Source organism: Homo sapiens, chromosome 9 (assembly GCF_000001405.40).
Source record: "Homo sapiens chromosome 9, GRCh38.p14 Primary Assembly".
Lineage (NCBI taxonomy): Eukaryota > Metazoa > Chordata > Mammalia > Primates > Hominidae > Homo > Homo sapiens.
The window spans coordinates 36,285,210-36,297,998 of NC_000009.12; the positions used below are offsets into that span (position 1 = coordinate 36,285,210).

A 12,789-nucleotide genomic window follows, 5' to 3' on the forward strand; every position below is an offset into this window, starting at 1 on the left:
CAAGCAATTCTCCTGCCTCAGCCTCCCAAGTATCTGGGACTACAGGCGTGTGCCACCCAGCCCAGCTAATTTTTGTATTTTTAGTAGAGACAGTGTTTCACCATGTTAGCCAGGATGGTCTCGATCTCTTGACCTCATGATCCGCCCGCCTCAGCCTCCCAAAGTGCTGGGATTGCAGGCGTGAGCCCCCATGCCCGGCCAATGTATTTCTTAAGTAATAGGACTTGAAAGTCAAAATTACTCTTTGATCCATGGGCTATGGACTGGATGTTGTGTTAGCAGGCATGAAAACAACATTCATCTCCTTGCACATCTTCATCAGAGCCCTTGGGTGACCAGGTGAACTGTCAGTGAGTGGTAATTTTCTGAAAGGAATCTTTTCTTCTTTTTCTGGGCAGTAAATCTCAATAGTGGGCTTAAAATATTCAGTAAACCATGCTAATTACCGGATATGCTGTCATCCAGGCTTTGCTATTCCATTTATAGAGCACAAGAAGAGTAGCTTTAGCATGTTTTTTTTTTGTTTTTTTTTTTTTTGAGACAGAGTCTCGCTGTGTTGCCTAGGCTGGAGTGCAGTGGTGTGATCCCAGCTTACGGCAACCTCTGCCTCCCGGGTGCCTCCTGGGTTCAAGTGATACTCCTGTCTCAGCCTCCTGAGTAGCTGGGATCACAGGCATGCACCACCACACCTGGCTAATTTTTGTATTTTTAGTAAAGATGGGGTTTTGCCATGTTGGCCGGGCTGGTCTCAAACTCCTGACCTCAGGTGATCCACCCCCTTCGGCCTCCCAAAATGCTGGGATTACAGGCGTGAGCCACCACGCCTGGCCAGCTTTAGCATAACTCTTAAAGGTCCTAGAATTTTCAGAATGGCAAATGAGCACTGACTTCAACTTAAAGCCACCAGCTGCATTAGCTCCTAATAAGAGAGCCAGCCTGTTCTTTAAAGTTTGAAGCCAGGCACTGACTTCTCCTCTCTAGCTATGAGGGTCCTACATGGCCTCTTCATCCAAGAGAAAGCTGTTTGTTTTATCTACATTGAAAATCTGTTGTTTAGCGCAGCCGCCTTCGTCAGTGATCTTAGCCAGATCTTCTGGATAACTTGCTGCAGCTTCTACATCAGCACTTGCTGCTTCACCTTGCACTTTTATGTTATAGAGCTGGCTTCTTTCCTTCAATCTGATGAACCAGCCTCTGTTAGCTTCCAAGTTTTCTTCTATAGATAACCTCACCTCTCTCAGCCTCCACAGAATTGAAGAGTTATGGCCTTGGTCTGGATTAGGCTTTGGCTAAAGGGAATGTTGTGGCTGGTTTGATCTTCTATCCAGACTACTCAAACTTTCCCCGTATCAGCAATAAGGATGTTTTGCTTTCTTATCATTTGTATGTTCCCTGGAGTGACACTTTCAACATCCTTCAACAGCTTTTCCCCTGCATTCACAACTTGACTAACTGGCACAAGAGGCATAGCTTTTGGCCGATCTCAGCTTTCGACATGCGTTCCTCACTAAGCTTAATCATTTGTAGCTTTTGATTTAAAGTGAGAGTCGTGCGACTCTTCCTTTCACTTGAACACTTAGAGGCTATTGTAGGATTATTAGTTGGCTTAACTTCAATGTTATTGTGTCTCAGGGAGTAGGGAGGCCCACGGAAGAGGGGAGAGAGATGGGGAAATAGCCGGTTGGTCAGTTGAGCAATCGGAACATGCACACTTATTGATTAAGTTTGCTGTCTTATATGGGTGCGATTTGTGGCACCTCAAAACAATTACAATAGTAACATCAAAGGTCACTGATCATGCCTGTAAACCTAGCACTTCGGGAGGCTGAGGTTGGAGGATCACTTGAGTCCAGGAACTCAAGACCAGCCTGGACAACATAATGAGACCCTGTCTCTACAAAAAAATTAAAAAAACTAGTGGCATGCGTCTGTAGTCCCAGCTACTCAAGGGGCTGAGGTGGGCGGATTGTTTGAGCCCAGGAGGTTGAGGCTACAGTGGTCGCACCACGGCACTCCAGCCTGGGCAACAGAGTGAGACCCTGTCTCGAAATAATAATCACAGTCATAATTATAATAATGAAAAAGTTTGAAATGCTGTAAGAATGATGAAAATGTGACACAGACGTGAAGTGAGCACATGCTGTTGGAAAAATGGCACCGATAGCCTTGCTCCAGGCAGGGTTGCCATAAACCTTCCATTTGTAAAACGTGCAGTATCTGCAAGGTGTGATAAAGCAAAGCACAATAGAATGAGTTATTCTTGGACTCACAGAGCATAACACGGGGATAAATACGCACAAATCTATACTGATTAAACATCTTGATTATTGAAGTAGATTTTACAGTATGACTTTTTTAAGATGCAAGATATGGAATCAGACCTATCCTCACATTTTCTAGTACTGGGTTAACATTTGTGTAAACTTTTAGCTACTCTAGATTAGAAAATGTAACATCATTGTTCCTTATCTTTTCTTATACAAATAAGACTAGGCCTTAGGTCTGTGGCTTTAATGAAATAATAATTTGTCATTATTTATGTCAAATTCAGCCCCTGCTTTACTTTCTTTTCTTTTCTTTTTTTTTTTTTTTTTTCTGAGACAGAGTCTCACTCTGTTGCCCAGGTTGGAGTGCAGTAGCTCAATCTTGGATCACTGCAACCTCCACCTCCTGGGTTCAAGCAATTCTCCTGCCTCAGCCTCCTCAGCAGCTGGGACTACAGGGGCACACCACCATGCCCGGCTAATTTTTGTGTTTTTAGTAGAGATGGGGTTTCACCATGTTGGCCAGGCTGATCTCAAACTCCTGACCTCAAGTGATCAACCCACCTCGGCCCCCCAAAGTGCTGGGATTACAGACATGAGCCACCACGCCCAGACCCTTGCTTTACTTTCATTTGGCATATGGTTTTTTCCACAGTGATGACCAACAAATGAAACTGTGCACCTTTGAAAGAGACTCTGCAGTTACATTTCAGCTCTAATATCCCACACACAGGTATCCTTGCATCCTGTGAGGGGGAGGAGGTGCAGGCACTAAGCAGATTCCTGGAAATCAATGGCCAGAGGCGATGTTTTCAGAGAGGTGAGACGATGGAAAATTACTGAGCAGACAGTGAACTTCTGAAGGGCAGAAACTTCTAGGGGCCCCCAGCACTTCAAGTGCCCAACTCCTAGCAGATGCACAATAAATGCTTGTGACTTGAGAGATAGTGGCAGCAGGTGGGCCCAGGGCTGAGGTGAGGGATGAAGGCCTCCTAGATCTGAGAGAGAGAATAAAGATGACATATTTGGAGCCTGGGGTCTGCAGAGTGAAGCACACAGGACTGTGGTGCAGAGCAGGGAGGAGATGCCGGCTAGCGGTGGGGACACAGAGCTGAGCTACTGTGGCAGAGCAGAACCCGGGCAGGAGGTGGGAGGAGACCAGCAGGAAGGGGTCCCTGAGGAAGCGAGGACTGCCTCTGGCCTCCCTCCTAGTATGTGTGCAAGTGCGTGGTGTGGACCCACTGCCCTGCAGAGAAGTCAGGTAGACAAGCTTCTTGCCATTTCCCAGTCGTATTAGCTTCCTGTGGCTCCCATAGCCAGTTGCCACGAACCGGTGTCTTGAAACAGTAGACATTCATTCTCTCACAGTTCTGGAGGCCAGAAGTCCAAAATCAAGGTGTTGGCAGGCCATGCTCCCTCTGGAGGCTCTTGGGGAGGATTCTTCTTTGCCTCTTCCAGTTTCTGGTGGCTGGAGGCATTCCTTGGCTTCCTTGGTTTGTGGCCACATTACCCCAATCTCTTCTCCACCTTCACACAGCCTTCATCTCTTTGATATGTCTCTCCTTTCTTTCTCTCTCTCTCTCTTTTTATAAAATAGAGATGGGGGTCTTGTTATGTTACCCAGGCTGGCCTTGAACTCCTAGCCTCCAGCGATCCAGTGTGAGCCACCATGGCAGCCTGTGTGTCTTTTTTTTTTTTTTTTTGAGATGGAATTTCACTCTTGTCACCCAAGCTGGAGTGCAGAGGCCCGATCTCAGCTCACTGCAACCTCCGCCTCCCAGGCTCGAGCAATTCTCCTGCCTCAGCCTCCTGAGTAGCTGGGATTACAGGCTCCCATCACCACGCCCAGCTAATTTTTGTATTTTTTTAGTAGAGACGGGGTTTCACCGTGTTGGCCAGGCTGGTCTCAAACTCCTGACCTCAGGTGATCCACCCGCCTCGGCCTCCCAAAGTGCTGGGATTACAGGTGTGAACCACCACACCCGGCCCTGTGTGTCTTTTATAAGGACACTTGTCATTAAGTTGGGGGCTTTCTTGGAGAATCCAGGATAATCTCCTCATTTCAAGATCCTTTCTAACATCTTCAAAGACTCTTTTTTCAGATAAGATAACACAGGTTCCAGGGATTTCTGTGATGGTTAATTTTTTATGTCAGATTACCTGGGCCATGATACCCAGATATTTGGTCAAACATTGTTCTGGATGTTTCTGTGAGGGTGTTTTGGGGTGAGATTTCCCTTTAGATTGATGGACTTTGAGCAAAGTGAATTGCCCTCCATAATGTGAGTGGGCTCTATCTAATCAGTTGAAGGCCTGAATCAAACAAAAGGCTGACCTCCCCCAAGCAAAAGGGAATTCTGCCAGCATATGGTTTTGGACCTCATCTGGGTTTCCAGCCTAACTGCCTTTGGACTTGAACCGCAGCTGCTTCCTGGGTCTCCCCCATCAGATTTTGAATTCATCGAGCTCCCACAATTGTGTGACCCAATTCCTTAAACTAAGTTTATAGATTCTGTTTCTATAGAAAACCCTGACTAATATAGGGGGTTGTTCTATTGAGGCCTTCAACTGATTAGATAAAGCCCACCCACCATTCAACCCACTCTACCAATATTTAACCTAGAGAAATGCTTTTCTGACCTGAATGTGTGTATGGTCTTGTTCAAGTGCAGATTCTGATACAGTAAGCCTGGAATTCTCCATTTCTAACAAGCTCCCAGGGGATGCTGGTGCTGCTGGTTAGAGTGACCAACTCATCCCAGGACTACCTCAGTTTTAGCACTGAAAGTCCCTTGTCCCAGAAAATCTCAGAGCTCCAGGCAAATCGGGATGGTTGGTCACCCTACTGCTGGTCCACAAACCATACTTTGAGTAACAAGGAGTTAGAGATCTCTATAGTAAGGGAAAGTCATAAAAATTTGGCCCTTCCTCAAATATGAGGATAAGTGTAAAAGTACATACCCAATGGATAAATCGATTGGTCCCAACATAAAATGTCATGGATGGTGGTACATTTACTCCCCAAGGGTCTCCCCTTTCCAGTGCTTTTATTTCTTTGAATTTTCTATCAGAACAGGATAAAAGCTTCAATCAGGGTGATTTCTTATCAAATTCCCCCACAGTAGCTCAGCAGAAGATCTAGCCACTGACTTCATAAAGACAGGGAAACTCCTAGGCAAACTCCCTCGTCCTTCCCCTCCCAAGCTGAACAATGCTGTATACACTGACCGCTCTCTTCTACTCGGCTGGAAGACAGTGAAAGGAGCAAGATTTGAAGTCAGCAGAGCTTAGTTTGAATTCTGTCTCTGCCATTTACAGTTGATTGATCTTGGACAAGTTAACTTCTCTAAGGTTGATAGTACTTCCGGAGGAATAAATTTCAGAGGGCTGGGAGCAGGTGAAGGAGATACCTAGGCAAAGTGCACATCCACCATCTGACACTTAATGAGTTTCCTTCCTCTCTGCCAGCCAGGCAGAAGGTGATGTAGGCCCTTGTGGGTGACGCAGGCAGGAGGGGAGACAGTGCACCTCGGGCTCAATGCTGTACCAAGCACAGCTTGTAATATTATTTTACTTATTTCTTCCTTCCTTCTTTCTTTCCTTCTTTCTCTCTTTCTTTCTTTTCTTTCTCTTTCTTCTTTCTCCCCCTTTCTCTCTTTCTTTCTCTTCCTTCTTTTTCTCTCTTTCTCTCTCCCTCTCTTTTTTCTCTTTCTCCTTTCTTCTTCTTTCTCTCTCTTTCTTCTTTTTATTTCCCCCCTTTCTTTATCTCCCTCTCTCTCTTTCTCTCTCTCTTTCTCTCTCTTTTTTCTCTCTCTTTCTGTCTCCCTCTCTCTTTCTTTCTTTTCTTTTTTCTTTCTTTCTTCTTTCTTTTTCCTTTCGAGACAGGGTCTTACTCTATCACCCAGGCTGGAGTGCAGCGGTGTGAGCCTGGCTCACTGCAGACTTAACCTCCCAGGTTCTATTTATAGCTTTCTTGAAATCAACTTTAAGTCAATTCATTTTTTTAAACTTAGCCTTTTCTAACCAATATTATTTGTGAAATCATGGGTTTAACATGCCAATCATATATTTTTTTTTCCAATGCACGGTAAATACATTTAGTCATTCATTCAAGAGATATTTAGGGCTGGGTGCAGTGGCTCGCACCTGTAATCCCAGCACTTCGGGAGGCTGAGGCGGGTGGATCACCTGAGGTCAGGAGTTCAAGGCCAGCCTGGCCAACATGGTGAAACCCTGTCTCTACTAAAAATACAAAAATCAGCCATGCATGGTGGCAGGTGCCTGTAATCCCAGCTACTCAGGAGGCTGAGGCAGGAGAATCGTTTGAACCCGGGAGGTGGAGGTTGGAGTGAGCCAAGATCATGTCACTGCACTCTAGCCTGGGTGACAGGAAGACATTCTGTCTCAAAAATATATAACAAATATACATTATAATGAATACATTCAAGTAGTCATGCATTCAGCAGCTACGGAGGGTGCCTTTTTATGTTAGAACAGCCTGGCACAGTTCTAAGCTCTTGAGCACTTGTGCTGATCCCAGACCCCAGTTGCTCCCATGACTGAGAAGAGCGATGACTTAGGAAGTTCTGGGGTGTATTTACCGAGGACCCAAGTCGGGTGCACTCAATCCCAGGCCTGGCGCTGGAAGCTTTCTTCTACTCTTCATTTGCCTCCGTGCAGTGGGCAGGAGGGAAGTCAGAAGGCATGGAGGGACCTATGTTAGGGCCTGGCTTCTTGTGTTCGCTTTCTCATCTCATTCTCCCTTATAGGTGACTGCAGGAAAAATAGACTAAAGCCTGCCCTGTGGGTTTGGCTAGCGTGTATGTGTGTGTGTGTATGTGTGTGTGTGTATTCTCTTTCTTTCTCTTCCTTCATGTCCTCTTTCCAGGCACCCCCATGAGTAAATTGGCTCAGGGCAAGCCAGCCGCGCTCACACTTTTTTTTTTCCCTACAGGCCTTCATCCTTCTCCTAACATTGCTTTGGTCTCCAGGCCCATGCACTGCTAAGATCCCAAGATTCAGACTGGGGGATGGGAGTTGAGGAGATGCCACCTTTAGGCTGAGCTGGGAGCTTCTGTCCACCTTTATCAGACTTGATCAGACTGTGCACCCTGGGGTATCACCCTCTGCTTCAATTAACACAATGACTTCCCACCTTCGCATCCTCCTCCTTCAAGGGGGACTTGGCTCGGTCAATTATTTCCTTCACCTTTTGCATGTTCAGTGTTTTCCTTTCTTCCCGAGGCTTCCCCTCTGTGGACCAACATGTTCCTCCATGGCAAAAACAAAAACAACCAGCCCAAACCAGTTCTTTCTGCCCTCCTGCCCTCTGCAGGTCAGCGCTGCCTCCTCCCTCCCTTTCATGGCATTGAATGGTGAGAGTGCAATACCCTCAGTGGCGCCTAACAGTCAGCAGTGAGCGCTCAGGACCGTCACCCACCTCTGCGGCCGATGACCCTCTCTTTGGCTCTGGCCCCAGCCGGCCTTGCGCTGTTCCTTCTCACGGTTTTTCCTGGCTCATCTTCGTGCCCCCTCCCCTGAGGGTCCTGGAGGTCTGAGCCCTCTGGCCGCCTCTCCTCTCTCCTTGCACTCCTCCTCTCATGGAGCGACCCCGTCTGTGCCACCTTCTCACCTTCCATGTCACACACCTTCAGCCTTCACTGAGGAGAGAGCAGGGCTGCAGCATCGTGTTCCAGTCTCATCCCTCACGGAGCCGAGAACTAAAAATTGAAACAGAGAAACCTCCTGACAAGGCCGCTGGCAAGTTCAATGGGAACAACTCAGGTTTTCAGAAAGAAGTATGATCCCTGGAGCCAGCGGGTTCAAAAGAACGAAGAGATTTATCAAGAATGAGACATACCAGACCAGCTGCGTTGCTTTCCATTGACAGGAAGCAAATCAGCTGCTCAGGAAAAGGTCAAGCATGGCACCTGGTCTCAGAGAGGTGTCCGTCAAAGGCTGTCATAACAGCCCTATGGACAAGAAGGAGACCTGGGCCAGGTGAGAATGATGCAAAACCATTTGTCCCAAGGAGTTGTGGATGGGACTTAGGGAAAGGAGGGGCTCCAGAGGCACTGTGACAGTGTCAGAGTGACTACAGGCTCCTCAGGAGATGTTGAGGGAAAAGAAAGGGCTGGGACGTGCCCTAAGACTTCTGTGCGCAGGCACTGGTCCCCTCTGCTGATTCAGGGCTCCCCTAAAACAGCCACCCTCATCACGAGTATGGTACCAGGCAGTGGCAAAACCTGTTCAACATCAGCAGGGCCGGGCGCAGTGGCTCATGCCTGTAATCCCAGCACTTTGGGAGGGCAATGCAGGAGGATCACTTGAGGCCAGGAGTTCGAAACCCCTTCTCTACAAAAAATACAAAAATCAGCCAGGCTTGATGGTGCATGCCTGTAGTCCCAGCTCCTTGGGAGGCTGAGGTGGGAGTATTGTTTGAGCCTGAGAGGTTGAGGCTGCAGTAAGCTATGATTGCACCACTGCACCAAAGCAAGACCCCATTTCAAAAAACAACAAACAAACCAAAAACACACCAGCAGGTTCTGACTGCAGCCTCAGAAAGCCCCCGGCTTTCCTGTTCAGCAAGCAGGCGCCCTGCAGAGTGAAGGATGCTTTCCCAGAGCCACCCTCAAGTGCTGCTGGAGGCCCAGATTCCTTCAAATGACCTGGGCAGCCCTGCCGGAATGCAGTGTGACAACAGAAACAAGTTGGCTGCTTGGGGAAACCATGCGGGCATCCCCAGGGTCTGATTTGGTAACCGCAGATATTCTTTGATAAATTGTAGAACCATTAGGCACTGGTCTGGGCAGTATGTGTATGGATGGGGAATCTGTTTATGAGAATATAAAATAAAACGTGCAAACACAGGAGAAGTAGAAGATACAGGTGGCAGGGGTAGAGTGAGAACTGAAGTCAGGACTGGGGAGCTGGAGGAGGAAATCAGGCCTGAAGAAACTTTGTGGCTGAAGCCAGCAAATCTTGTATATATAGGATCTCCATGAACTGTCCTAAAATTTCCAAGAGAAGGAGACATCCGTCAAGTAGAAGACAAAAAGGGATGCTGACCAGGGAGGCCGGATGCTGGTAGGTAGAGCCCATGACTGGAGAAGCAAGAGCAGCACAAGGTCCCTGAGGGGTGGTTAAGAGCAGCTGGTGACCGGGCATAGTGGCTCATGCTTGTAATCCCAGCACTTTGGGAGGCCGAGGCAGGTGTATCACTTGAGGTCAGGAGTTCGAGACCAGTCTGGCCAACATGGCAAAACCCCATCTCTACTAAAAATACAAAAATTAGCTGGGTGTGGTGGTGGGTACCTGTAATCCCAGCTACTTGGGAGGCTGAGGCAGGAGAATTGCTTGAACCCAGGAGGCAGAGGTTGCAGTGAGCCGAGATCGTACCATTGCACTCTAGCCTGGGTGACAAGAGCGAGACTCTGTCTCAAACAAACAAAAAAAGAGCAGCTGGAGGCTGGGCATGGTGGTTCATGCCTGTAATCCCAGCACTTTGGGAGGCCGAGGAGGGTGGGTCACTTGAGGTCAGGAGCTTGAAACCAGCCTGGCCAACATGGTGAAACCACGTCTCTACTAAAAATACAAAAAAATTAGTCGGGCATGGTGGCACATACCTGTAATCCCAGCTAAACTTGGGAGGCCAAGGCAGGAGAATCACTTAAACTCCAGAGGCAGAGGTTGCAGTGAGCCAAGATTGCACCACTGCACTCCAGTCTGGGGCAACAGAGCAAGATTCCATCTCAAAAACAAAACAAAACAAAAAATACAAAGAAAAGAAAAGAAAAGCAGCTGGAGGCTGGGTGTGGTGGCTCATACCTATAATCCCAGCACTTTAGGAGGCCAGGGCAGGAGAATCGCTTGAGTCCAGGAGTTTGAAACCAGCTTGGGTGAAATCCCTTCTCTACAAAAACAAACAGAAATTAGCCGGGTGTGGTGGTGCCCCAGGTCTCAGCTACTTGGTGGGGTGAGGCAGGAGGATCCCTTGAACCCAGGAGGCCAAGGCTGCAGTAAGCCGAGATTGTGCCCCTGCACTCCAGCCTGAGTGACAAAGTGAGACCCTGTCTCAAAAAAAGAAAAAGAAAAAAAAAAGCAGCCGGCACCTAGCTACCTTCCCATCTCTCTTCTGTTATGGGGTGGGGGTTCAAAATCAAGACAAATAATTAAATAATTTAAATATTTTTTCCTCCAGATTTTCTTTTTCTTGACAATAAACTTATTTTTCATAAAATATATCAAGTATAGAGGCAAAAATAGAGAAAAATATAACAACCAATATTTTAAATATTAGCATTATGCTGGCTGAGCATGGCATCTCACACCTTTAATCTCAGCACTTTAGGAGGCCAAGGCAGGAGAATCACTTGAGGCCAGGAGTTCAAGACCAGCCTGAGCAACATAGTGAGACCCCCATCTCTACAAAAAATAAAAAATTAGCCAGGTGTGGTGGCACATACCTGTGGTCCCAGCTATTCAGGAGGCTGAGGTGGGAGAATTGCTTTAGTCCAGGAGGTTGAGGCTTCAGTGAGCTGTGATCACACTACCACACTCCAGTCTGAACAACAGAGCCAGATCCGTCTCAAAAAATAAAAAAGTTAGCATTATTCCATTTTGCATCAGATCTTATTTATTTATTATTATTTTTTAAGACAGAGTCTCACTCTCTTGCCCAGGCTGGAGTGCAGTGGTGCAATCTCAGCTCACTGTAATCTCTACCTCCCAGGTTCAAGTGATGCTCCTGTCTCAGCCTCCCGAGTAGCTGGGATTACAGGTGTGTGACACCATGCCTGGCTAATTTTTGTATTTTTAATAGAGACAAGGCTTCACCATGTTGGCCAGTGTGGTCTCGAACTCCTGACCTCAAGTGATCTGCCTGCCTTGGCCTCCCAAAGTGCTGGTATTACAGGTGTGAGCCACCACTCCTGGCTAGATCTTGTGTTTTAGATAGTATCACAGATACAGTGGAGGGACGTACTCTCTTTCTGTTTCTAAGAGGCTACCTCAGTTCTATCAGCTTCTAGTCACTCTTGCTGCCTTCTGGCCATGGAGTACAAATCCTTTTGAGAATCACAGTACATAGGTTTTTTTTTCTTTTATTCTTAAAGAGTTCATTTTGCCTGGTATGTACATAGGTCTTGATGTAGGAAGGCAGGCACTGAAGTGAATGCTAAATTCCCTCTCTTGCTCAGGAAGGGAAGCAGAGGGTGGAAGGTGGGTGTGTGAGGGAAGATCTGTTGCTAACTGAGGTCTAAAGAAACAAAGACGCCTTCAAGCTGTGCCTATGTAATTAAGCTGTGCCCAAGCACTGGCACCAGTTTTTCTTGTTTATGACTTTAATCTTGCTGGTTGTCCTTTCATTCACATGTTTACTGAATTGTCCACCCTTTTTATGATACGCCCTTTTAACCACCAGGGTTCATGAACCATTATTGTAATTTTCCACTTATGTGACTTGATCTGCAGTTGGGTGTTACCATACTTACTCAAATATTTCCTGTTTATTCCTGCAAAATTAGGACAAAGATCTCAAAGATTTTCTGAGGAATAAGTGAGATAACGTCTGTGTATTTAGCACAGTAATTGGCAATATACAGTTCCTAGTAAATGCTTTTCCCCTCTTTTCTAATTCTCATAAAATGTCTGTTTAAAACTCCATTACAATTATCAGAGTTGCCAACAAGCACTGCAGATAGTGGAAACTACTTTTGGTCCATTTGTGAAAATTGTGGCATTTACTTTCTTCTGATTAGCCTAGATACTGGAAAACCTGCAGGAATTAACAATGTAAAGTATAATATTTTAAGATGTAAAAACAAGGGCCAGTCGCAGTGGCTCACACCTTTTTTGTTTGTTTGTTTGTTTTTTGATATGGAATCTGGCTCTGTCACCCAGGCTGGAGTGCAGTGGAATGATCTCGGCTCACTGCAAGCTCCACCTCCCGGGTTCACGCCATTCTCCTGCCTCAGCCTCCTGAGTAGCTGGGACTACAGGAGCCTGCCATCACGCCCAGCTAATTTTTCTGTTTTTAGTAGAGACAGGGTTTCACCATGTTAGCCAGGATGGTCTCAATCTCCTGACCTTGTGATCTGCCCGACTCAGCCTCCCAAAGTGCTGGGATTACAGGCGTGAGCCACCACGGCTCACACCTTTAATCCCAGCACTTTGGGAGGCTGAGGCAGGCTGATCTCTTAAGGCCAGGAGTTCAAGACCAGCCTGAGCAACATAGTGAAATCTCATCTCTACAAAACATACAAGAAATTAGCCAGATGTGGTGGCATGAGCCTGTGGTCCCAGGTACCAGGGAGGCTGAGGTGGGAGGATTGCTTAAGCCTGGGAAGTTGAGGCTGCAGTGAGCCAAGATTGTGCCACTGCATTCCAGCCTGGGTGACAGAGTAAGACGCTGTCTCAAAAAAAAAAAAAAAAAAAAAATCGAAAACATAGTTTTGTGCAAATATACAATGAACACAGGTCAAATATTTTATTCAATTCAATTAATGAGGGCACTGGTAAGATGTTA

General features: G+C 46.8%; 1 long non-coding RNA gene across 2 annotated transcripts in view; it reads left to right on the forward strand.

Annotated features, from left to right (window-relative positions):
- Positions 1-2,804: 2,804 nt before the first annotated feature.
- The window catches only part of LOC102724322 (uncharacterized), a 30,452-nt gene continuing 20,467 nt past the window's right edge, over positions 2,805-12,789 (forward strand). For both annotated transcript variants that reach the window (XR_001746660.2, XR_001746655.2), the window contains exons 1-2: positions 2,805-3,084; positions 7,219-9,350. This is a non-coding gene — a long non-coding RNA (uncharacterized LOC102724322). The remainder of the gene's footprint in view (positions 3,085-7,218; positions 9,351-12,789) is intronic.